The sequence below is a fragment of the Homo sapiens genome, chromosome 14, assembly GCF_000001405.40.
Source record: "Homo sapiens chromosome 14, GRCh38.p14 Primary Assembly".
Lineage (NCBI taxonomy): Eukaryota > Metazoa > Chordata > Mammalia > Primates > Hominidae > Homo > Homo sapiens.
The window spans coordinates 35,068,458-35,093,612 of record NC_000014.9 but is presented as its reverse complement, the minus strand read 5'-3'; the positions used below and the strand labels follow the sequence as shown (position 1 = coordinate 35,093,612).

The following is a 25,155-nucleotide window of genomic DNA, read 5'->3' as shown; positions in this document are numbered from 1 at the left end:
GTCATATTGTCATGAGAATGGGGGGGTCTTACATTTATCATTTAGCTTCAATAGCAGTTTGCTAAATAACACCATTAGTAACAACAAAAGAAAAGAGGGGAAAAGGCACAGAAAATTTACTTTGTAACTCCCACAGCTGTAAACAATAGACAGTGAGGAGCTTATATTATTAATATAATGATTCCTGATGAATAGAGAAAATCAGGCTACAACTATGGATGAAGTCAGATCACAATCTGCATTCTTTAACTCTTTAGTGCTATTTATGCAGAAAGGAACTTTTCTAAGAATATAAAATTTTTATCTAAGTGAGAACCTCCCAATTACTACTTTTTACCATTAAAAAAAAAATCTGAGTATCCTGTTTTTTTGTTTTGTTTTGTTGTTTTTGTTTTTGTTTTAGATGGAGTCTCCCTCTGTCGCCCAGGCTGGAGTGCAGTGGCGCGATCTCGGCTCACTGCAAGCTCCGCCTCCCGGGTTGACGCCATTCTCCTGCCTCAGCCTCCCGAGTAGCTGGGACTACAGGCGCCCGCCACCATGCCCGGCTAATTTTTTTTTGTATTTTTAGTAGAGACGGAGTTTCACCGTGTTAGCCAGTATGGTCTCGATCTCTTGACCTTCTGATCTGCCCGCCTCGGCCCCCCGAAGTGCGTATCCTGTTTTTATAGGGAAGGCTTTCTGTTCTCTTCATGTCTTTCTGGCCTTTCCATTTTGCCTTTTTATGGATGAGAGCAGTGTCAGCTCACTGTAAAATGTCTGGCAATCTCAAGACAGCTTCTTATTGGAAATCTGAATTAAAAATTTTAAACAATATTTTAAAATAGCAATTTAAATATACTGTTCTGAGACTGGGCACGGTGGCTCACACCTGTAATCCTAGCATTTTGGGAGGCCGAGGTGGGTGGATCACCTGAGGTTGGGAGTTTTGAGACCAGCCTGACCAACTTGGAGAAACCGCTTCTCTACTAAAAATACAAAATTAGCCAGGCGTGGTGGTGCATGCCTGTAATCCCAGATACTCAGGAGGCTGAGGCAGGAGAATGACTTGAACCTGGGAGGCAGAGGTTGTGGTGAGCCAGGATCGCGCCATTGCACTCCAGCCTGGGCAACAAGAGCGAAACTCCATCTCAAAAAAAAAATTATACTGTTCTGTTCATTCCAGATAAAAAATTTGTTTTTCAAAATAACTGCACTGAAATGAAGTTATAAGTTTATAGCTTAGTCATCTGTTTCAAAAGTTTGAAGCAGGATGCAGTAGTTCATCCCTCTAGTCCCAGCACTTTGGGAGGCCGAGGCCAGATGATTGCTTGAGCCCAGGAGTTTGAGACTAGCATGGGTAATACAGGAAAACCCCATCTCTACAAAGAATTTAAAAAATTAGCCAAGTGTGATGGCGTGTACCTGTAGTCTCAGCTGCCTCGGAGGCTGTAGTGGGAAGATTGCTTGAGCCTGGGAGATCAAGGTTGCAGTGAACTATGATCGTACCACTGCACTCCAGCCTGGTTGATAAAGTGAGACCCTGTCTCAAAAACAAGAATAATGAAAGAAAATTATAGTTTAACACAGCAAATCTCTCATAAAAAAATGAACTAGGGCTGGGCACAGTGGTGCATGCCTATAATCCCAGCACTTTGGGAGGCCGGGGCAGGCGGGTCACTTGAGGTCAGGAGTTTGAGACCAGCTTGGGTAACATGGAAAATCCTGTCTCTACTAAAAATATAAAAATTAGCTGGGCATAGTGGTGTGCACCTGTATTCCCAGCTACTTGGGAGGCTGAGACAGGAGAATCGCTTGAACCTGGGAGGCAGAGGTTTCAGTGAGCTGAGATTGCACCACTGCACTCCAGCCTGGGCAATAGAGCAAGACTCCGTCTCAAAAAAATAAATAAATAAAAAAGAACTATGTCCTCAAAACTGTCCTGTGTAGATTATATATAGAATTCCTATGGCTGGGCAGGGTGGCTCACACCTATAATCCCAGCACTTTGGGAGGCTGAGGCGGGCGGATCACCTGAGGTCGGGAGTTCGAGACCAGCTTGACCAACATGGAGAAACCCCATCTCTACTAAAAATACAGAATTAGCCAGGCATGGTGGCACATGCCTGTAATCCCAGCTACTCCGGAGGCTGAGGCAGGAGAATTGCTTGAACCCGGGAGGTGGAGGTTGTGGTGAGCCAAGATTGTGCCATTGCAACTCCAGCCTGGGCAATGAGAGTGAAACTCTGTCTCGAAAAAAATTCCCTAGAAACCAATATTAAGTATATAAATGGATTTCTCATATCATAACTTAGGGAAAAAATTAAATTTGCCACCTTTGATTGCAAAATAGCTTCAAATCATAAGATATTCACTTGAAAGTTAATTTCAACTAAGGCCTCTAATGAACATTATTTTCTGTTCTGTAGGACTATAAGACCTACTTGGACTTTGTCCTTGCATTAGAAAACAGAAAGGAACCTGCAGCTCTACAATATATTTTCAAACTGCTTGATATTGAGAACAAAGGATACCTGAATGTCTTTTCACTTAATTATTTCTTTAGGGTAAGTCTCATTTGCATAAGTGAGTCATTGTTCCTTAAGATATATCATTTTGTTGCTGCCGGTGCAGTGGCTCACGCCTGTAATCCCAGCACTTTGGGAGGCCGAGGCAGGTGGATCACAAGGTCAGGAGATAGAGACCATCCTGGCTAACATGGTGAAACCCCGTCTCTACTAAAAATACAAAAAATTAGCCAGGTGTGGTGGTGGGTGCCTGTAGTACCAGCTATTTGGGAGGCTGAGGCAGGAGAATGGCGTGAACCCGGGAGGCAGAGTTTGCAGTGAGCCGAGATCGTGCCACTGCACTCCAGCCTGGGCGACAGAGCGAGACTCCGTCTCAAAAAAAAAAAAAAAAAAAAAATTGTGAGATGCAGCAAAAGCAGTGGCTAGAGGGAAATTTATAGTATTGAATGCATATACTGGAAAATGTTAAAGATCTAAAATCAGCATCTACTTTAGGAAATTAGAAAAAGAAGAGCAAATTAAAGATATATCATTTGGTTTAAATTAAATATTTAGTAACCATTTTACCTAACTCGTGATTTTTATTTATTTTTTTCTTTTTTTGAGAAAGGGTCTGGCTCTGTCGCCCAGGCTGCAGTGGCATGATCATAGCTCGCCGCAACCTCCAACTCCTGGGCTCAGGCAGTCTTCCCACTCAGCCTCCCCAATAACTGGGTCCACATGCCTGTAATCCCAGCTACTTGGGAGGCTGAGGCAGGAGAATCACTTGAACCCAGGAGGCGGAGGTTGCAGTGAGCTGAAATCGCGTCACTGCATTCTAGCTTGGGCAGCAAAGCAACACTCGGTCTCAAAAAAAAAAAAAAAAAAAAAACTACAACTACCAAAGTCTATAAAAATTTCTGTGGAAAGGAGCTACCTTTTCTGAACTGCTTAGCATCTTACAAGTTTTTCATCACAAGTATAGAATTTATCACATATTTGTATTTCCAATGGTAGTACAGCCCCTGACGTATATTTACATATTTTTATTTTACATCTAGTCAAATCAGCTTTCACTCAATTTTTTTAAGTAGGAAAGAAAACTAAAAACTTGATTTCTTTCTGAAATCTGTTATGTAAATGCTTTTATTAAATTTAAAAATCGGCCGGGTTGCGGTGGCTCATGCCTGTAATCCCAGCACTTTGGGAGGCCAGGGTGGGCGGATCGCAAGGTCAGGAGATCAAAACCATCCTCACTAACATGGTGAAACCCATCTCTACTAAAAATGCAAAAAAATCAGCCGGGCGTGGTGGCGGGCGCCTATAGTCCCAGCTACTCGGGAGGCTGAGGCAGGAGAATGGCATGAACCCAGGAGGCAGAGCTTGCAGTGAGCCGAGATTGCGCCACTGCACTGCAGCCTGGGTAACAGAGCGAGACTGAGTCTCAAAAAGAAAAAAAAAAATTAAAAAATCATACCCCAGGCATGGTGGCTCACACCTGTAATCCTAGCACTTAGGGAAGCTGAGGCAGGAGGTTCACTTGAGCACAGGAGTTTGAGACCAGCCTGGGCAACACAGGGAAACCCCAACTTCTACAAAAAATTTAAAAAATTAGCTGGGTGTAGTGGTCACATGCCTGTGGTCCCGGTTACTGGGGAGGCTGTGCCCAGCCAGTTGTAGATACTTTTATTTGCTATGTTGAAATAAACCATGAAAATAATTTTTAGGCCAGGCGTGGTCGCTCATGCTTCTAATCCCAGCACGTTGGGAGGCCAGGGAAGGAGGGTTGCTTGAGCCCAGGAGTTGGGAAACCAGCCTGGGCAACATAGGGAGACTCCATCTCTACAAAAAAATTAAAAATTAGCTGGGTGTGGTGGCACATGCCTGCAGTCCCAGCTACTTGAGAGGCTAAGGTGGGAAGATCACTAGAGTCCGGGAGGTCAAGGCTGCAGTGATCCATGATTTGCCACTGCACTACGGCCTGAATGACAGAGTAAGACCCTATCTCTAAAAATAAAAATTAAAAAAACTGAATGCTATATGGGCTTATATCAGCGGCTCATCTGAGAAAATAAATACCAACCCATCATAGGAATGCCCCTACTTTAGACAAACCTATTAGGTAAAAATCCAGTCTTAAGAAAATAAATGTATTTGAAATTAAACACTGCTCTTTTTCATAAAGATTTCTTTACAGTATTTTCTACTCTTAGAATATTAAATTGTTTTAAAACTACTTTAAAAATATTTCATATAGGCATTTTGTCAAAGCTTATTTAGGCTTGGTTATATGGGATAAGGTAAAAAGTGTCCAATGCTGAGCCCTATAATCCTGGGCTGTTCACAGAGCGTTTGGACATCACTATCCTAATGATAAAGCTGGGTCTGGATGATTCACTCTAGATCATACCATCTATTACTATATTAACAGAGCATGTACTCAGATTCTTATCTACTTCAAAGGGATTCCTTTATGGATACTCTGATTATTAGTGGTAACAGAGTAGGCATCGGGAACAAAGTTGACTGTTCACCAAGAATTTGAAACTTCACATTTCCAGTGAATAATGCTCACCTGAAGTATTTTGTATTCCTACTGGATGACAGCAGTTTCTTCATTTTTTTGTTAAAGTTTATGAAAAGGAAGAGTTTTGGGAGGTCTACCTCCATTTCTTGTATTACGTAGAAAGCAAAGTGTAGGGTAGGAAGGGAGACAGTAGATTGGGGATCTTAAGAGAATAGTGAAGGCAGGAATAACATTCATGGAAAATGAGAGGAGCAGATCAAACAGAATAATTGTGAGGCCATGCTGAGGGCCTGTTTGAGGTTGGAGAACATTCCTATGTAGAAGCAGCAATCCGTAATCTTTTTATTTTTTTTCCTGAAGTTCTCAATAGTTAAGATATAGGTCTAAAAAGGTCAATACACTAATCGAGAATTTAGGTTTTGCTCACTGATGTGGAATAAGGTCAAGAAAGCTAAGAAGATTGGCAAGAGAGAGAATGATGAGGTTTGTGGCCTGATAGGAAAGGAAGTATAAGTAGAAAGGGGTTGTAGGGCAAAAGAGGGATGTTGTGTATTTCATTTTTTATTTACAGATTTATTTCTATTAAATACAGGCCATACAGGAACTAATGAAAATCCATGGACAAGATCCTGTTTCATTTCAAGATGTCAAGGTTATCTTTTCCTTTAATTTACGTATTACCAGATAATTATGAGATAGTCATTTGTATTACATGAAATTTTATATGAAAGCAACTAATGAAGTACTATTTGAATCAAGTGTTTGCTTTTTGTTCTGAACTGATATTTAAATCATTACGAACTGAGACCACATTTGGACTATTTATGTAGTTTATAATTTTAGTATTGTCATCATTATGTTTTCATTGGAAGCATTCATTCATTTTAATTAAGACAGTCAGGGGGCCGGGCTCAGTGGCTCATGCTTGTAATCCCAGCACGTTGGGAGGCTGAGGCGGGCGGATCATCCGAGGTCAGGAGTTCAAGACCAGCCTGGTCAACATGGTGAAACCCCGTCTCTACTAAAAATACAAAAATTAGCTGGGCATGGTGGCGCATGCATGTAATCCCGGCTACTCGGGAGGCTGAGGCAGGAGAATCGTTGGAGCCCAGGAGGTGGAGGTTGCAGTGAGCTGAGATTGTGCCACTGCACTCCAGCCTGGACAACAAGAGTGAAACTCCATCTCAAAAGAAAAAAAAGAAAATTAAGACAGTCAGTACAGTCTATATCCTACGGCAGTCTGTTCAACTGTAAACTGATTTTTTACCTTGGAAACTGTTTTAGTATGCTACCTCAAACAGCCTGTTCACTTTTAGTAATTTTGCTACAAATTTTATTTTACTACAAATTTTGTAGTTATTTTACTACAAAAAGATTAGAAAACATGTACTAATTCCCTGTAAATATCTGTTGTACACTTCATAATATAGAAGGAGGTCTTCTATATGTTCCAGTAAGTTTTAGCAGAATTTAGCTTCTTTTTGGATGTCTAATGCATATCCAGAGAAAACTCCCCTCTCCCATCCTAACAAAATGTTGACATCAACATTGGAAATGAAGCTTTGTCACTATCTCTGAAACATTTAGATGTTTAATTGAGTTGAACGGTTAGCAAAAAAAAATTAAACCAAACCCTTGTTAGCCGGGTGTGGTGGTACACGGCTGTAATCCCAGCTATTTGGGAGGTCAAGACAGGAGAATGGCTTGAACCTGGGAGGCAAAGTTTGCAGCGAGCCAAGATCGCACTACTGCACTCCAGCCTGGGACAGAGGGACACTCCATCTCACACACACAAAAAAAGAAGGGGCTGGGCACGGTGGCTCACGCCTGTAATCCCAGCACTTTGGGAGGCCAAGGCAGGCGGATCACCTGAGGTCGGGAGTTCAAGACCAGCCTGACCAATATGGAGAAACCCCGTCTCTACTGAAAATACAAAAATTGGCCAGATGTGGTGGCACACGCCTGTAATCCCAGCTACTTGGAAGGCTGAGGCAGGAGAATCGCTTGAACCCAGGAGGCAGAGGTTGCGGTGAGCCGAGATCACACCATTGCACTCCAGCCTGGGCAACAAGGGTGAAACTCTGTCTCAAAAAAAAAAAAAAAAGGCTGGGCGCAGTGGCTCACACCTATAATTCCAGCAATTTGGGAGGCCAAAGCAGGCAGATTACTTAACATCAGGAGTTTGAGACCAGCCTGGCCAATATGGTGAAACCCCCATCTCTACTAAAAATACAAAAATTAGCTGGGTGTGGTGGCGTGCACCTGTAGTCCCACCTACTCGGGAGGCTGAGGCAGAAGAATCGCTTGAACCCAGGAGGCGGAGGTTGCAGTAAGCCAAGATCGCACTACTGCACTCCAGCCTGGATGACAGAGTGAGACTCCATCTCAAAAACAAAACAAAACAACAAAAACAAAAACTACAGACAAAACTTTGTTTCACCAATTAGAAGGCAACAGAAAAATATATAAGAAACTAGTTAACGTGCAGTCCCTGAACACTGCATTAGATAGTTCTGCCACTAATTACCTATGTAGCTAGATTAGGCACTGAGCCTTGGTTTCTTCATCTATAAAACGAAGGATAGCTATCACATAGCTAAGGAGTTATCCAATAAAATTTTGTGGTTGTAGGTAGAGAAAAGGAAACTGCCTGTTAAATGGAAAAGAAAAAAAGTAGAACAAAAAATTAACATAAGCCCAAGTGGCAGCCCTCAATTTTATTCCTCTGTACTTCAGTGGATGCAAACAGCCCTGAATTTTGGATCACTATGTGTGATAGAAATTAAGTGGATCAAATTTCATTGTATTTTTTTTTCTCTTGCAGGATGAAATCTTTGACATGGTAAAACCAAAGGATCCTTTGAAAATCTCTCTTCAGGATTTAATCAACAGTAATCAAGGAGACACAGTAACCACCATTCTAATCGATTTGAATGGCTTCTGGACTTACGAGAACAGAGAGGCTCTTGTTGCAAATGACAGTGAAAACTCTGCAGACCTTGATGATACATGATCTCTGAAAGACTAGACTGTCTTATATTATGAGATACTTGAATGCTGCATGTAAAGCCTTTAAAGCAAAATCCTCAGAAATGGTCTAAATAAAACACTTGATATGCCTAGAGAACACAGCAAATGTTTTGGTTACTGGAATTTTGGTTGCAATAGTTTAGAAGCAATAGGACCAAATATTGCTTGTTAGGAGGTGGGGTAAGTTCTGGTTCCTTTTAGTTCAAAGATGGGAAGTGTGATTTGCTGTAGGTAGATGATGTTCAGTTTAAATCTGTATAATCTTCAGAGATGAAGTTTCCATGGAATATTTCTGACAGTCATTTAGAATGTGAATATTTGACTGACAGTGCATATATATATACACACAACATGTGTGTGTGTGTGTGTCTATATATATAAAATCTCAAAGATGACAAACTTTCCCATTCATGAGTAGAGCCATTTTATTTCTGGGTTAGGATTAGGATTTTTTTTTAGGGGGGGTCAAGTGATTCTCCTGCCTCGGCCTCCTGAGTAGCTGGGATTATAGGCGCCTGCCAACACACCTGGCTAATTTTTGTATTTTAGCAGAGACAGGGTTTCACCATGTTGGCCAGGCTGGTCTCAAACTCCTGACCTCAAGTCATCTGCCCGCCTCGGCCTCCCAAAGTACTGGGATTACAGGTGTGAGGCACCACGCCCAGCCTTTTTGTTTTGCGGTTTTTTTTTTTTTTCTCTTGAGACAGTCTCCGTCTGTTGCCCAGGCTGGAGTGCAGTGGCATGATCTCTGCTCACTGCAGCCTCCACCTCCTAGCTTCAAGCGATTCTCCTGCCTCAGCCTCCTAAGCAGCTGGGACTTCAGGTGTGCACCACCATGCCTGGCTAATTTTTGTATTTTTAGTAGAGATGGGGGTCTTGCCATGTTGGCCAGGCTGGTCTCGAACTCCTGACCTCAGGTGATCCGCCTGCCTCGGCCTCCCAAAGTGCTGGGACTATAGCCACCATGATTCACAGTGATACGTGAGCCACGTGCCCAGCCTTGTTCTTTCTTTTAATTGGATGTTTTAATAAAATGTATTCAAACTAGTATTTTACTTTCATGAAAATCATTGGTATAAAAAATTTGTTGGCTGGGCACGGTGGCTTACGCCTGTAATCCCAGCACTTTGGGAGGCTGAGGTGGGCGGATCACGAGTTCAGGAGATTGAGACCATCCTGGCTAACACAGTGAAACCCCGTCTCTACTAAAAATACAAAAAATTAGCTGGGCGTGGTGGAGGGTGCCTGTAGTCCCAGCTACTCAGGAGGCTGAGGCAGGAGAATGGCGTGAACCCGGGAGGCGGAGCTTGCAGTGAGCCAAGATTGAGCCACTGCACTCCAGCCTGGCAACAGAGTGAGACTCCATCATCTCAAAAAAAAAAAAAAAAAAATTGTCTAGTTTTATTAACCAATACCAGAGTTACATTTTACAAAACTTAATTCCAAGCCCGGACAACATGGCAAAACCAAGTCTCTACAAAAAATAAATAAAAAACATTAGCTGGGCATGGTGGTGTGAGCCTGTAGTCCCAGATCCTTAGGAGGCTGACAGGGAAGGACTGCTTAAGCCCAGGAGGTCGAGGCTGGAGTGAGCCATGATTGCACTATTGCACTCCAGCCTGGGCAACACAGTAAGACCCTGTCCCAAACCAAAAAACAAACTTCATTTTGTTAAGGATTTTTGTTAAAGAATTTATGTTAATTCAGGATAAAGACTTCAGTTATACATTACATTTAGTTTTTATGAGATGCTGAAAGATTAGAAGAAGGTAAATATGAACTATGATCCAGAAGGAACTGGAATTCTGTTTTTTTTTTTTTTTTTGGAGACGAGTCTTGCTGTGTCGCCCAGGCTGGAGTACAATGGTGCAAACTCCATTCACTGCAACCTCCGCCTCCCAGGCTCAAGTGACTCTCCTGCCTCAGCCTCCCGAGCAGCTAGGATTACAAGCACCTGCTACCATGCCCGGCTAATTTTTGTATTTTTAGTAGAAATCCATCTCTACTAATTCACCATGTTGGCCAGGTTGGTCTCGGACTCCTGACCTAGTGATCCGCCCACCTTGGCCTCCCAAAGTGCTGGGACTACAGGCGTGGGCCACCGTGCCCAGCTGGAACTGGAATTCTTAAAAGGACTGAAAAGGAGATAGGAAAAAGTGAGTGAAAGAGGCTTAAAGTAAGACAAACCATTGAATACATTTATGGGAAATTTTATAGTTTGCATAAACAAAGTATAAACTTAAGGCACAGTGAATAACTATATTGATAAACATAAACTAGCCACTATTGGACAAGTAGCAAAAGTAAAATTCAAGAAACAAAACCTTCATAAGTCACTACTTCCTTTTGTTACAATCATAAAATTTTCTGGGTAAACTCTAGATACTAGTACCTCTAGGGAGACAGGATTCAGAAGATCACTTTTAGACACACCTATCTTCACTTGATAACCAAATAAATATCTGTGAGTGAGAGGTACTATCTCGAATGAAGTTAAAAACAAATTAGAAGGAAAAGGTCAGGTTAGCATGTTTTAGAACTATTGGTAAACTATAATTCATGGGACATTATATAATCAAAAGATTAATATTTTAAGCACTAAGTTATAAAGGGTTTACACCCATGAATAAAAAGATTACCATCACTTACTATGAACCACCATTCCATGAATCCATGTAGCTGAACACTCCTAATGAAAAGTTTAATTATCCTTCAACCTGTAGTTGAAGAACTCAGTTCATGTTCATTGACAGATTTCCATTACAGACCCACTATATTGATGTTACTTTCTTTGACACTATATTTTATATAGATATATTAAAATTGAAAACTTAATGCTGTTTAGAAGGCTATTAATATAACTATTAATTTCTGAAAGCTTTGAGTTTCTGAAAAGGCTTTTAAGATCAAAATTTCTGAAACACTCCACACATTCTTCCTCACCCACATTTAATTATAAATCAATGTTATACTGATAAAAGGTTCTATACACACATTTAGAGATATATGTGTGTGTGTGTGTGTCTGTGTGTGTGTATATATATATACTTTTTTCCCCCCAAGATGGAGTCTCACTCTGTCGCCCAGGCTGGAGTGCAGTGGTGCAATCTTGGCTCACTGCAACCTCCACCTCCCTGGTTCAAGTGATTCTCCTGCCTCAGCCTCCCGAGCAGCTGGGATTACAGACGTGCACCACCACGCCTGGCTAATTTTTGTATTTTTGTAGAGACGGGGTTTCACTACGTTGGCCAGGCTGGTCTCAAACTCCTGACCTCAAGTAATCTGCCCACTTCAGCCTCCCAAAGTGCTGGGATTACAGGTGTGAGCACCGTACCTGGCCATATTTAGGAATATTTTCAAAATTAGCTTCACAATATATACATTTGTAAGGTTTACAAATAACCAAGTAGGTAGAGGAGTGGCCAACCAGATTCAAGTAAACTGTCCAGTCTTCACTGTTGCTACTTCTAAATGATGAATGACGGGTAATTTCATTAGGCTATCATTGCACCTTATACAATATCTAATTGCTCCTGATGGATTAAATCTATACCTGTCCCACTATCCCCCAATCCCCTCCAAACCACTTTTCTATAGGATTAACGCTGAACCGATAACATAACCAGGATGCCACATGGATATTCACTAGGTATTAACATTAATAAATCTATTCTATAAGTAGTGTTTTAATATTATGTTCAAAGCTAGTTATTTGAGTCCTGAAAAAGAATACAAGATTAAGTAAGTGGCTTGCATTAAAAAATGGAAGCCTATCTTAATATCTGGTGTTATAAATACAGATTCTTACATAAAACAGTTATTCTCAATGAAAGAAAATTCAAAGTGCTTCCATCTTGCTCCTTTTATTATATGGTGAAGCATCCTTAGTGTGAAATTAATGGTTAGATATATAAATGCATGGCATAACATGAGAAAATCTAGGAGAAAATATCCTCATTTTAATCTAAGACTATGGAATTATCAATTCCAATTAGACTTAATCAGCAACTTACCTTTTTCAAAAAAAGCAAATGCACAAATAGGCTTGATAATTTAACTCTTCTTAACTATTAAGGCTCTAGGATGTCCTTAACTTTTTTAAAAGATCATTTTAAAACCAAAGCACTAATTTCTATACACAGTAAAAACAGTACAAATATCTGAATTTCAGATCTGGCTTTTGCTAGATAGATCCTAAAAATGAAGAAAACATTTTCCCTTTCCAGATACTTTAATAATTTAAAATATAAATAATTGTATTAAGTCCCACTGAATAAAGAATGTGAAAGTTTTTGTATTAAAAAAAAAAAACTTAAGAGTTTGAAGCTTGATAGTCATTTCATTTTATGGTGGGACAGAGACTGGATTTTGCTTGCTTTCCATAATTACTTCACTGTCTCCCTCCATTTCAAAATTGACATTCACAAATGAGCTGGATATCACTGTCTCTGGTTGATCTGTCTGAACAATGGAATCAGTCTGCAATTTATTCTGTTGATATTGTTTTTCTGCTTCTTCAGACATCCTGTTTTCTTCTTCTTCTTCTTCTTCCTAAAAAAAAGGAGCAATATCAAGAATAGTTGAAATACGAAAGTCCAAAAGGTATATAGTGCTGTTTTCCCCACTGTCAGCTTATGTTTAAAAAAAAAAAAAAAAAAAAGTGTCATGTTCAAATCAGTTTGGTCTAATTAAGACATACTTTCCCTTCTCCTGCTCTCTAATTGAAATAACCACTGTAAAACATTTTAAGGAAAGTAGTTTTTTCTTGTTGTTTGTTTTTTTTGAGAAAGAGTATTGCTCTGTCACCCAGGCTGGAGTGCAGTGGCTCACTGCAACCTCCATCTCCCAGGCTCAAGCAATTCTCCTGCCTCAGCCTCCTGAGTAGCTGGGACTACAAGCACCTGCCACCACGCCCAGCTAATTTTTGTATTTTTAGTAAAGACAGGGTTTCACCATGTTGGCCAGGCTGGTCTCGAACTCCTGACCACAAGTGATCCACCCACCTCGGCCTCCCAAAGTGTTGGGATTACAGGCATGAGCCACCGCGCTCAGCCCAAAAGAGGTTACTTTTTAAAACAGGGTCCAGCACTACATCACGTAGATGAGACCTGAATTAACTTTGACAAGGACTTTATTTTTTTCAGATTAAGTCTAAGCTAAATAAATAAAAAGTTAGCTTCAACTGTATCACTTCAATTGTAGGGTGTCAGTCTATTCGGTTGAATAGGTTGGTTCATTTACTACATGATATATAGCATAGTTAGTTTTCCCATAAGCATCAAATACATAGATAAGGCAGCACCTACCCTCAAGAAGTTTACAACTTAGTAGGGAAGTTAAGACATGTAAAAACAGTATTATGACAGATGTACAGATTTTGAAAGGGTAAATAATTTCTAGTTGCAGAACTACTAAATTCATTGAGTAGGTGGCATTTGTATTGGACCCTGCAGAACGGGTAGTCAGTACACAGTGAGTAACCCCAGAAGATTACTCTGGGGCTTGCTTGAGAATAGAGACCATTTAGGAGGCTAGTATAATAGCCCAGATGAGGTAATGAGGCTCTAAGCAAGGCTTACAGTGTTAAGAAATACTTATTTGTTCATAAAACAGGTTTGAAACCATATGACAAATATTAAGTCAGCTGACCTTTCCAGGCTCATGTCCAGTCACTCCCACATTGTACCTTATGCTCCAGTGACAATAAACTATTATATTTTTGCCATTTCCCCAACCATAACAATGTACCTTCATGCCTCTACATTCTAGCTTTACCTGAATTGCTGCCCTCTATTTGCTTGAAGAATAGCAGATGCCAATATTTGTTGTGCTCACTAGGTGCTGTTCTAAACATTTTATATATTAATGTATTTAATCTGTAGAGCAGCCCCCGAGCATGGATGCTGCAATTCTCCTCATTACAAAGATGAGGAGATTGAGGCTTATAGAGGGGTTAAGTGTTCTGTCCAAGGTTACAAAGTTTTAAGTGGTAGAACGGATTTTGAATTCAAGCCCTTTGGTTCTTGAGCCCATGCTCTTAAGCACTAAAGGCTTTTATTTTTTAAGACAAAATTCACTTCACTCTCACCTTAAGACCTCACTACTTTTAAACTGCCCTCAAATTTTTGTGCATTAACACCTGGCACATACACATTTCTTGTACTTAAATTTTTATCTGTGCCAAACCCACTCCACTTTTCCTATATCCAGTCCATGTGCTCTAAGTATCTTGTTTCTTCATCTTAGAATTAGAATGATAATCCAAAGAGAGGCATGTGAAGATTAAATAATGTATATAAGGCATCTCACATAGCACTAAGACAATGAAATCTAGCTTAGTTTTGCACACAGATCATAGGAAAATTCCAGTTTAAAGGAATTCCAAAATGTATGTTACTTTGATAAAAGAAATTAATGATTCTAGAATGAAATGCCTAGCATAAGAGAGCTACATGTTGGGCAGTTAGAAAATACATAGGCTCATTATGCAACCCATCAAGTCCATAGCAAACCAAACTGAATCAAGAAAATGTAAAAAGGAGGCATACCTCCTTCTTCATCCGATAATATTCATCAATGGCATATTGGTACTTTGGGGTGCTGATACCCAAAACAGATGCAATCTTCTCTCCAAGGAAGTCACACACTGAAAATACAAAAGTTAAAAGACTTATATAATTCTATAAACATTTCTTGAGCACTTTCTATGTGTAAGACACTGTAGGAATACAAGAGTTACTGTTCCTGCTCTCAAGGAGATTATAAAAACCTAATAGATCTATCTTCTGTATATCTTCCCTGATTTTCTTCAAGAAGTACCGGTGGCTTCAAAACTCCCAACAAGTCTTTTCATGTCTGTATTAGAATACTTATCACTAGGTGTATCTGTTATATATCTATGTCTTTAAGAAAAGTGTATACTGCCAGGCATGGCGGCTCATGTCTATAATCCCAGCACTTTGGGAGGCTGAGGCAGGCAAATCACATGAGGTCAGGACTTCAAGACCAGCTTGAACAACATGATGAAACCTCATCTCTACTAAAAATACAAAAATTAGCTGGGCATGGTGGTGGGCACCTGTAATCCCAGCTACTCAGGAGGCTGAGGCAAGAGAATAGCTTGAAACTGGGAGGTGGAGGTTACGGTGAGACAAGATCACACCACTGCACTCCAGCCTTGATGAAAGAGCAAGACTCTGTCTCAAAAAAGAAAAATGTATACTCAGAAAGCTGGGATATCACTGGGCTGGAGGAGGGGAATGGCTTGTAGTATAATACTCACTGAGTGCCTACCATGTGCCAGGTACTGTGAAAGGTTAGGCGTAGAGAGGTTAAAGAACTTAACCCAAACTGATAAGGCAGATCCAAAGTTCAAAGCTAGGTCTGAATCTCAAGCTCATGCTCTTTCCATTACACCAACCTGTCTAGCATATATTCAGTGCTCAGTAAATGTTTGTTGAATCAATTACTATTCACAATTAGCTCTAATAAAATGCAGAAAGTGATAAAAAGCTATGAGGGAGTTAAAAATGGAAGCAGAAGAAAGCTTCATAATTTAAAACCTATATTTTAAATTAGCATTATTAAGTTATAAGTTGATAATTCATTTCCTTCAAATATGACTTAGTCACATCTCAATTTAAGAAATGGAATATTAATGAAATAGAAATATAAATTAACTATAATACAGGCTTTAGAATAAGCAGTGAGACAGATTGAGAATGTTATCAATTGGAAACCAAATGACAAAGCAGCAAAATAGCTGTTAAGAGAAAGGGTTTAAGAACTTGAGGCCGGGCGCGGTGGCTCACGCCTGTGGTCCCAGCACTTTGGGAGGCCGAGGCGGGTGGATCATGAGGTCAGGAGATCGAGACCATCCTGGCCAACAAGGTGAAACCCCGTCTCTACTAAAAATACAAAAAATTAGCCGGGCGCGGTGGCGGGCGCCTGTGGTCCCAGCTGCTCGGGAGGCTGAGGCAGGCGAATGGCGTGAACCCGGGAAGCGGAGCTTGCAGTGAGCCAAGATTGTGCCACTGCAGTCCGCAGTCCGGCCTGGGCGACAGAGCGAGACTCCGTCTCAAAAAAAAAAAAAAAAAAAAAAAAAGAACTTGAAAACCATATCTAAACTAACATAGTCATTTTTCATTCCTCAAAAAATAAACTATATTGGAAGCTGAAGAATGTTTTAATGTGAAGTACAAGTTAGGTTACTATCTCCCAATGCTAGCTAGCTCTTGAGGACAGTGATTAACTCCCTATTGTTTCTCCTTCAGTTTGGAAACATCCTATTTAGCAAAGTTCCTGTTGCTGAAGCATGTTACAGCAATTATACAATATTCAAGCAGAAAAGCAATACCTGAGAGAGTTGATGTAGCAGCCCGAAGCATGTAAAACCATAAGTAGGGACCCCAGGTAAGTTTTGTCTGCAACAAGAAATCATGTTAGCAACATTCATACCTAAATTCATTCCATATATTTAGGCCAGAATGAAGTAGTCAAATACTTGGTAGGCACCGAGAATATTCTATAGGCAGTACTACAAAGAGACTGCAATCCAATCAACAATTTAAAATCTGTAGAGTTAAAATTCCACAAAGATATTTTACATTCACCCATATAACTACCACCACCTTAAGCCCATAGAAGAATCAAAAAAAGATGCAGCCGCTGAAATGGAGTTGGTAATCGCAGTCTGGATTATTTTATGAGTTGACAATCCAGAGCTTTCCTTTCTCCTGTCTTGCTGCATTTTTGTCTCCACTATTTATAAACACAACACCAGAGGGGGTGTTCAGTCAATAGAAAGAAACTTAAGGATGCCATCTGACATACTTATGCTATAGCAGGGAAATTAAGGTTCAGAGAAATTAAGCAGGATATGTAAGGGAACATCAAATGAGCTTTTAATGGTGGGAAAATAAGGGACAAATAAGCGGCAAGATAAGTTTCGTTTGTTTCTTTAAGTCTTTTTTTTTATTATTATTATACTTTAAGTTCTAGGGTACCTGTGCACAACATGCAGGTTTGTTACATATGTATACATGTGCCATGTTGGTGTGCTGCACCCATTAACTCGTCATTTACATTAGGTATATCTCCTAATGCTATCCCTCCCCGCTCCCCCCACCCCACAACAGGCCCCAGTGTGTGATGTTCCCCTTCCTGTGTCCAAGTGTTCTCATTGTTCAATTCCCACCTAAGAGTGAGAACATGCGGTGTTTGGTTTTCTGTCCTTGCAATAGTTTCCTCAGAATGATGGTTTCCAGCTTCATCCATGTCCTTACAAAGGACATGAACTCATCCTTTTTTATGGCTGCATAGGATTCCATGGTGTATATGTGCCACATTTTCTTAACCCAGTCTATCATTGATGGACATTTGGGTTGGTTCCAAGTCTTTGCTATTGTGAATAGTGCCGCAATAAACATACATGTGTATGTGTCTTTATAGCAACATGATTTATAATCCTTTGGGTATATACCCAGTAATGGGATGGCTGAGTCAAATGGTATTTCTGGTTCTAGATCCTTGAGGAATCGCCACACTGTCTTCCACAATGGTTGAACTAGTTTACACTCCCACCAACAGTATAAAAGTGTTCCTATTTCTCCACATCCTGTCCAGCACCTGTTGTTTCCTGACTTTTTAATGATCGCCATTCTAACTGGTGTGAGATGGTATGTGATTTTGATTTGCATTTCTCTGATGGCCAGTGATGATGAGCATTTTTTCATGTGTCTGTTGGCTGAATAAATGTCTTCTTTTGAAGTGTCTGTTCATATCCTTTGCCCACTTTTTGATGGGGTTGTTTGATTTTTTCTTGTAAATTTGTTTGAGTTCATTGTAGATTCTGGATATTAGCCCTTTGTCAGATTAGTAGATTGTAAAAATTTTCTCCCATTCTGTAGGTTGCCTGTTCACTCTGATGGTAGCTTCTTTTGCTGTGCAGAAGCTCTTTAGTTTAATTAGATCCCATTTGTCAATTTTGGCTTTTGTTGCCATTGCTTTTGGTGTTTTAGTCATGAAGTCCTTGACCATGCCTATGTCCTGAATGGTATTGCCTAGGTTTTCTTCTAGGGTTTTTATGGTTTTAGGTCTAACATTTAAGTCTTTAATCCATCTTGAGTTAATTTTTGTAGCAAACTTGACAAAAACAAGAAATGGGGAAAGGATTCCCTATTTAATAAACGGTGCTGGGAAAACTGGCTAGCCATAGGTAGAAAGCTGAAACTGGATCCCTTCTTTAAGTCTTAAAAAAGGACTAGACCATAGAACCCAAGACAAGTTCAGTGCATATTTGGTAAGCCAGGGCCACTGGCAGAATGCAATCCACAATGCACACCTACGTAGTTAATCTTGGTTCTATAATTCCAAATGAATTTTGTGAAGCTTGCCAAACAGATGTTATCTGCCTCTCTAGATGAAGCCAGTGATAAAGGCATGCTTCATTGTACCAATACGTTTATCCAAAGAAAACACAGTATAAAGCCTTCAAGGAATCAAATGCATTAATAATTGTTTTCTGGAGTTTTTTTTAAGACAGAGTCTCACTCTGTCACCCATGCTAGAACGCAGTGGCACAATCTCAGCTCAATGCAACCTCTGCCTCCTGGGTTCAAGTGACTCTTGTGCCTCAGCCTCACGAGTAGCTGGGATTACAGACGTGCACCAATTGCACAAATTTTTGTATGTTTAGTATAGATAAGGTTTCGCCATGTTGGCCAGGCTGGTCTCAAATTCCGGCCCCATGTGATCCACCCACCTCAGCCTCCCAAAGTGCTGGGATTACAGGGGTAAGCCACTGCATCTGGGAAATAATTGTTTTAATATGGCTTCCAAGGAGGGGAGAAAGAGAAAAACTTGTCCATAATCTTCTTATATATACTAATGATTAAAAGGGCATTAAAAAGGCAAACACAAGAATATCTGTTAAGACTGAGTGGATGGGGCGGGGCGCAGTGGCTCACGTCTGTAATCCCAGCACTTTGGGAGGCTGAGGCGGGTGGATCACCTGAGGTCAGGAGCTCAAGACCAGCCTGACCAACATGGAGAAACCCCGTCTCTACTCAAAATACAAAAATTAGCCAGGCATGGTGGCGTGCACCTGTAATCCCAGCTTCTAGGGAAGCTGAGACAGGAGAATCGCTTGAATCTGGGAGGCGGAGGTTGCAGTGAGCCGAGATTGAGCCCCTGCACTCCAGCCTGAGCAACAGAGCAAGACTCCATCTCTAAATAAATAAAATAAATAAAAATACAAAAATTAGCTGGGCTGTAGTGGCACACGCCTGTGATCCCAGCTACTCAGGAGACTGAGACGGGAGAATCGTTTGAACCCGGGAGGCGGAGGTTGCAGTGAGCCAAGACTGCACCACTGCACTCCAGCCTGGGCAACAGAGGGAGACCCTGTCTCACAAAAAATAAATAAATAAACTCCCTTTCATATATACATATATTCTATTAGTTCTGTCCCTCTGGAGAACCCTAATAAAGTATCTAAAGCTGGAGAATTTAATGCCAGCAAAGGATGGCTTGATAATTTTAGAAAGAAGTTTGGCTTTAAAAATGTCAACAAAACAAGAGAAGCAGCTTCTGCCAAACAAAAGATAGCAGATGAGTTCCCACACATCATTAGGAAAATCATTGAGAAGAAAGGATATCTATCAGAACAGGTTTTTAGTGGAGATCAAAGTGCCCTATTCTGAAAAAACATGCCACAAAAGACATTTATTAGTAAGGAAGAGAGGCAAGCACCAGGATTCAAGGCAGAAAGGGATAGGCTAACTCTACTATTTTGTACAAATGCAGTCCGGTTTATGATTAGGACTGCCCTTATCTATAAAGCTGCTAGCCCCCAAGCCTTAAAGGAAAAAGATAAACACCAGCTACCAGTCTTTTGTCTGTACTTGTCAAGGCCTAGACAACAAGAACCCTTTTCCTGGATTGGTTCCATCAATGCTTTGTCCCTGAAGTCAGGAAGTATTCTGTTAATAAGGGACTGCCTTTTAAAATTCTTTTGTTATTGGACAATGCTCCTGGCCACCCAGAACCCCACAAGTTCAACACTGAAGGTGTCAAAGTGTTGTACTTGCCCCCAAACACAACATCTCTAGTTCAGCCTCTGGATCAGGGGTCATAAGGACCTTTAAGGCTCATTACACACAGTACTCTATGGAAAGCATTGTTGATGCCATAGAAGAGAACCCTGGGCAGTGTGGTGGCTTACGCCTATAATCCCAGTACTTCAGGAGGCTGAGGCGGGCAGATTACCTGAGCTCAGGATTTTGCGACCAGCCTGGGCAACATGGTGAAACCCTGTCTTTACTAAAATACAAAATATTAGCTGGGCATGGCAGCGTGCACCTGTAGTCCAGCTACTTGGGAGGCTGAGGCAGGAGAATTGCTTGAACCCAGGAGATGGAGGTTGCAGTGAGCCAAGATCACGCCACTGCACTCCAGCCTGGGTGACAGCGAGACTCCGTCTCAAAAAAAAGAAGAAGAAGAAGAAGAAGAGAACCCTGATAAAGAAAACATCATGAAAGTCTGGAAGGATTACACCACTGAAGATGCCATTGTTATAGAAAAAGCTGTGAAAGACATCAACACGAAACAAATTTCTGCTGGAGAAAACTGTGCCCAAGTGTTGTGCACATCTTCACAGGATTTACGACAGAGCCAATCAATGAAATCATGAAAGATATGGTAGATATGAAAGGAAAGGGGGGGTGGAGGGTGGAGCGTTTCAAAATTTGGATCTCGGAGAAATTCAAGAGCTAACAGACACAACACCAGAGATATTAACAGAAAATGGCTTGATAGAGATGAGTGCCTCCAAACCACTGCCAGATAATGAAGAAGATGTAAAAGCAGCAGTGCCAGAAAAGAAACTGACATTAGACAATCTGGCAGAAGGGCTCCGATTTTTCAAGACTACTTGACTTCTTTTACAACATGGACCCTTCTATACAGGCAATGAAACTAAAGCAAATGGTGGGAAAAGAACTGTTACCACCTAAAACAATTTTTAGAGAAATAAAAAAGTAAAACAGTCAGACAGAAATTACTACGTATTTCCATGAAGTCACAGCAAGTACGCCTTTCTCTCTTGCCTCCCCTTCCACCTCCTGCCATGCCTAACACAGCAAGACCAACCCCTCCTCTTCCTCCTCAGCCTACTCAATGTGAAGACAATGAGGAAGAAGACTTATGATGATGATCCACTTCCCACTTAATGAATAGTAAATATATTTTCTCTTCCTTATAATTTTCTTAACCCTTTTTCCTTTCCTTTCCCCTTTCCTTTCTTTTATCTTTTCTTTGTCACCCAGGCTGGAGTGCAATGTTGCGATCTCGGCTCACTGCAACCTCCGCCTCCCAGGTTCAAGTGATTCTCCTGCCTCAGACTCCCGAGTAGCTGGGACTACAGGTGCCCAACACCACATCCGGCTAATTTTTGTATTTTTAGTAGAGATGGGGTTTCACTATATTGGCCAGGCTGGTCTCAAACTCCTGACCTTGTGATCTGCCCACCTCAGCCTCCCAAAGTGCTGGGATTACAGGCATGAGCCACCACGCCTAGCCAACATTTTCTTTTCTATAGCTTACTTTATTGTAAGAATAGAGCATATAATACATATAACATAAGAAATATGTGTTAATTGACTTTATGCTCTAGGTAAGGCTTCCAGTCAACACTAGGCTATTAGCAATTTAGTTTGGGGGGAATAAAAAGTTATAGGCAGATTTTCAACTGTGCAGGGTAGTTGGGGGGTCACACCCCTAAACTTCACATTGTTCAAGGTTCAACTGTAAATATGTTTCTCAGTGGACCAATTCTCCTGGGGTTGTTTCTGGCGAGAATAATTGATAATATCCAAGCTATGACTACCAAAGAATCAAATCTGCTCCAGAGCTGAAAAACAGGTTAATAATTCCTGAATAACATTTATCATCATCCCACACAACTATACAGAATGAATATATAGGGCCCTTTGTTTGAACATTGACTTGATTGAATCAAAAAAAAGAAGTAGCTAGAGTCTATGCCAGAATTCCACCACCTAGACTATCCCAGTAATAGCAAAACTGGGACAAGATCTTGTGTCTTCAAGACTTCTTGTATATAGTGCTAAAACTCAAAATGATTCATTTTTCCTCCAAAAATATAAGTATCTCTTCCTTCCCTATTAAGACCTACTACCTTTTCTTATTAAAACAATTTATTTTCAGATTATAAAAGTCATATTTATTTGTTGTAGAACACTTAGAAAATGGAGGTCGGCCGGGTGCAGTGGCTCACGCCTGTAATCCCAGCACTTTGGGAGGCCGAGGAGGGTGGATCACGAGGTCAAGAGATCGAGACCATCCTGGCTAACACGGTGAAACCCTGTCTCTAAAAAAAAATACAAAAAATCAGCCGGGCGTGGTGGCAGGTGCCTGTAGTCCCAGCTACTCAGGAGGCTGAGGCAGAAGAATGGCGTGAACCTGGGAGGCGGAGCTTGCAGTGAGCTGAGATCGCACCACTGCACTCCAGCATGGGCAACAGAGCAAGACTCCGTCTCAAAAAAAAAAAGAAAGAAAGAAAGAAAGAAAATGGAGGTCAATATAAGAAAAATGTAATTCACCCATTTTCCACCACCTAGAAATAATTATCCAAATATCAGGGTACCTTTCCAGTCTTTTCCTGAGCATACACTTATTTTTACAACATTGTTGTCCCTTACATATTTTCTCTATCCTATTTTTCCACATGTATTATATCATATTAATATAATTATAATATTAAGCCTATTTACTTAATCTGCTTAAATTCCTAAAGGTGGAATTAACTAGGCCAAAAATATAATCATTTAGGAAGCTCTTCATTCACATTGCAAAACTTCACACTAGAAAATTTGCCTATAAATATGCAGTAGCAATGTATGTGATTGTCCATTAACTTGTAGCTCCGCCGGGTGTGGTGGCTCACGCCTGTAATCCCAGCACTTTGGGAGGCCAAGGTGGGCAGATAACAAGGTCAGGAGTTCGAGACCAGCCTGACCAACATGGTGAAACCCTGTCTCTACCAAAAATACAAAAATTAGCCAGGTGTGGTAGCATGCACCTGTAGTCCCAGCTACTTGGGAAGCTGAGGCAGGAGAATTGCTTGAATCCGGGAGGCTGAGGTTGCAGCGAGGCGAGATCATGCCACTGCACTCCAGCCTGGACGACAGAGCGAGACTCCGACGCAAAGAAAAAAAAAATATTGTTATAGGCCGGACACGGTGGCTCATGCCTGTAATCCCAGCACTTTCGGAGGCTGAGGCGGGTGGATCACGAGGTCAGGAGATCGAGATCATCCTGGCCAACATGTACCTTAAGGTACATCTAAGGTAAAATTGAAGTGAGTTACTATAAGATTATAAAAAGATCTAGGTCTTCACTTCTTTTTTTTTTTTTTTTTTTTTTTTTTTTTTTTTTTTGAGACAGAGTCTCACTCTGTCGCCCAGGCTGGAGTGCAGTGGTGCAATCTTGGCTCACTGCAACCTCCACCTCCCAGGTTCAAGCAATTCTCTGCCTTAGCCTCCCGAGTAGCTGGGATTTCAGGCGCCCACCACCACGCCCACCTAATTTTTGTATTTTTAGTAGAGACGGGGTTTCACCATCTTGGCAAGGCTGATCTTGAACTCCTGACTTCGTGATCTATCCGCCTCGGCCTCCCCAAATGCTGGGATTACAGGTGTGAGCCACCACGTCTAGCATAGGTCTCCACTTCTTATGCTCTATTAGTATCATATGCCAGGAGTATTAATCTTAAATCTTTATCTTAAATGTCAGGGTTTTAAAAATTGAGTCTGTTTTACAAATGTACTATGGAAATACAGGACCTTTTCAAAATTCCTTTGTCTTATCATATTTATGATGTATTAAGAGGAAACAGAAAATTGAAAGTCTGCTCTTAACATTAAGTGAAGCCAGGTTTATCTTCAGTTGTTAAAAAGTACTCCAATGGGGCCAGGCACGGTGGCTCATGCCTGTAATCCCAGCACTTTGGGAGGCCGAGGCAGGCAGATCACCTCAGGTTGGGAGTTCGAGACCAGCCTGACCAACATGGCAAAACCCCGTCTCTACTAAAAATACAAAATTAGCCGGGCATGGTGGCACATGCCTGTAATCCCAGCTACTTGGGAGGCTGAGGCAGGAGAATCGCTTGAACCCGGGAGGCAGAGGTTATGGTGAGCCGAGATTGCGCCATTGCACTCCAGCCTCGGCAATAAGAGTGAAACTCTGTCTCAAAAAAAAAAAAAAAAACCTACTCCAATGGATAAGCATTGGCTGTTGTATTGGTCTATGGCAGGAAACCCAACGATACATTCAAACTGGCTGGTAATGGTGAGATTTAGCTATACACATTTAAAAAAATTTTTTTAATTGGCTAATAGGGTATTATCTACAAAGATGCGGACAAGGTTTCCAACAATGAACAGAATAGTACCCCAGAGCTAATAGCACTGAGAAAACCATTAATATCCCTGCTGTTGTTTAAATGTGTCCCCTAAAAAACGTGTGTTGGAAACAATATAACAGTGTTGGGAGCTGGGACTGAACGAGCAGTGATTATGCCATGACAGCTCCAGCATCATGAATGGATTAATGCCATTATTATGGAAGTGGGTTTGTTATAAAATCATGAGCTCTGGCCCCTTCTCTCTCTGTCTCTCTCTCACCCTCTTGCCTTCTGCTACATTCAATGATGCAGCAAGAAGGCCCTTGCCAGATGCCAGTTGCTCAATCTTGGACTTCCCAGCCTCCACAACTGTAAGCCAATGAAGTTCTGTTCTTTATTAATTACCCAGTCTGTGGTATTCCATTATAGCAGCACAAAATGGGCTATCACAAACCCAATATCTGAAGGGGTAAAAAGAGAGAGCAGTTACTGGGAACCCCGGGAGAATACCCAAATGGAGAAGGCTTCCCAATAGTAGCTGTGGCCTTAGTAGAAAATCCAGTTACCCATGGCATATAATAAGGAAGGAATCCCAGAATCAGAATGGTGAAGAGTAAATAACACAACCTCATTTTATTCCCTGCCCTCTAATTTCCTGCCGGTGGTTCACATTGGCTAAACTCAATAAAAAG

At 41.0% G+C, this 25,155-nt stretch overlaps 2 protein-coding genes and 1 long non-coding RNA gene across 12 annotated transcripts in view; 1 reads left to right on the top strand and 2 right to left on the bottom strand.

The window, feature by feature from the left end:
- The window catches only part of PPP2R3C (protein phosphatase 2 regulatory subunit B''gamma), a 36,827-nt gene extending 28,686 nt beyond the window's left edge, over positions 1–8,141 (top strand). For 7 of the 8 annotated variants that reach the window (NR_130972.2, NM_001305156.2, XM_005267782.5 and 4 more), the window contains 3 exons: positions 2,406–2,543; positions 5,603–5,662; positions 7,835–8,141. Coding sequence is in view for 7 of the 8 variants with exons in the window: in NM_001305156.2 (NP_001292085.1) it covers positions 2,406–2,543; positions 5,603–5,662; positions 7,835–8,023 (387 nt within the window). In the remaining variant the exon portion in view is untranslated. Of the gene's footprint in view, positions 1–2,405; positions 2,544–5,602; positions 5,663–7,834 lie in introns of those variants that run through there. The other variant, XM_047431517.1, reaches the window with a different exon arrangement.
- LOC101927178 (uncharacterized) overlaps positions 1–12,532 on the bottom strand; it is a 32,050-nt gene extending 19,518 nt beyond the window's left edge. The window contains exon 1 of the long non-coding RNA NR_110415.1: positions 12,054–12,532. This is a non-coding gene — a long non-coding RNA (uncharacterized LOC101927178). The remainder of the gene's footprint in view (positions 1–12,053) is intronic.
- The window catches only part of FAM177A1 (family with sequence similarity 177 member A1), a 38,477-nt gene continuing 23,551 nt past the window's right edge, over positions 10,230–25,155 (bottom strand). For 2 of the 3 annotated variants that reach the window (NM_173607.5, NM_001289022.3), the window contains 3 exons: positions 16,397–16,463; positions 14,589–14,686; positions 10,235–12,591 (listed from right to left, as the gene is read on the bottom strand). In NM_173607.5, the coding sequence (NP_775878.2) occupies positions 12,385–12,591; positions 14,589–14,686; positions 16,397–16,463 (372 nt within the window). In that variant the 3' untranslated portion in view covers positions 10,235–12,384. Of the gene's footprint in view, positions 12,592–14,588; positions 14,687–16,396; positions 16,464–25,155 lie in introns of all 3 variants that reach the window. The other variant, NM_001079519.1, reaches the window with a different exon arrangement.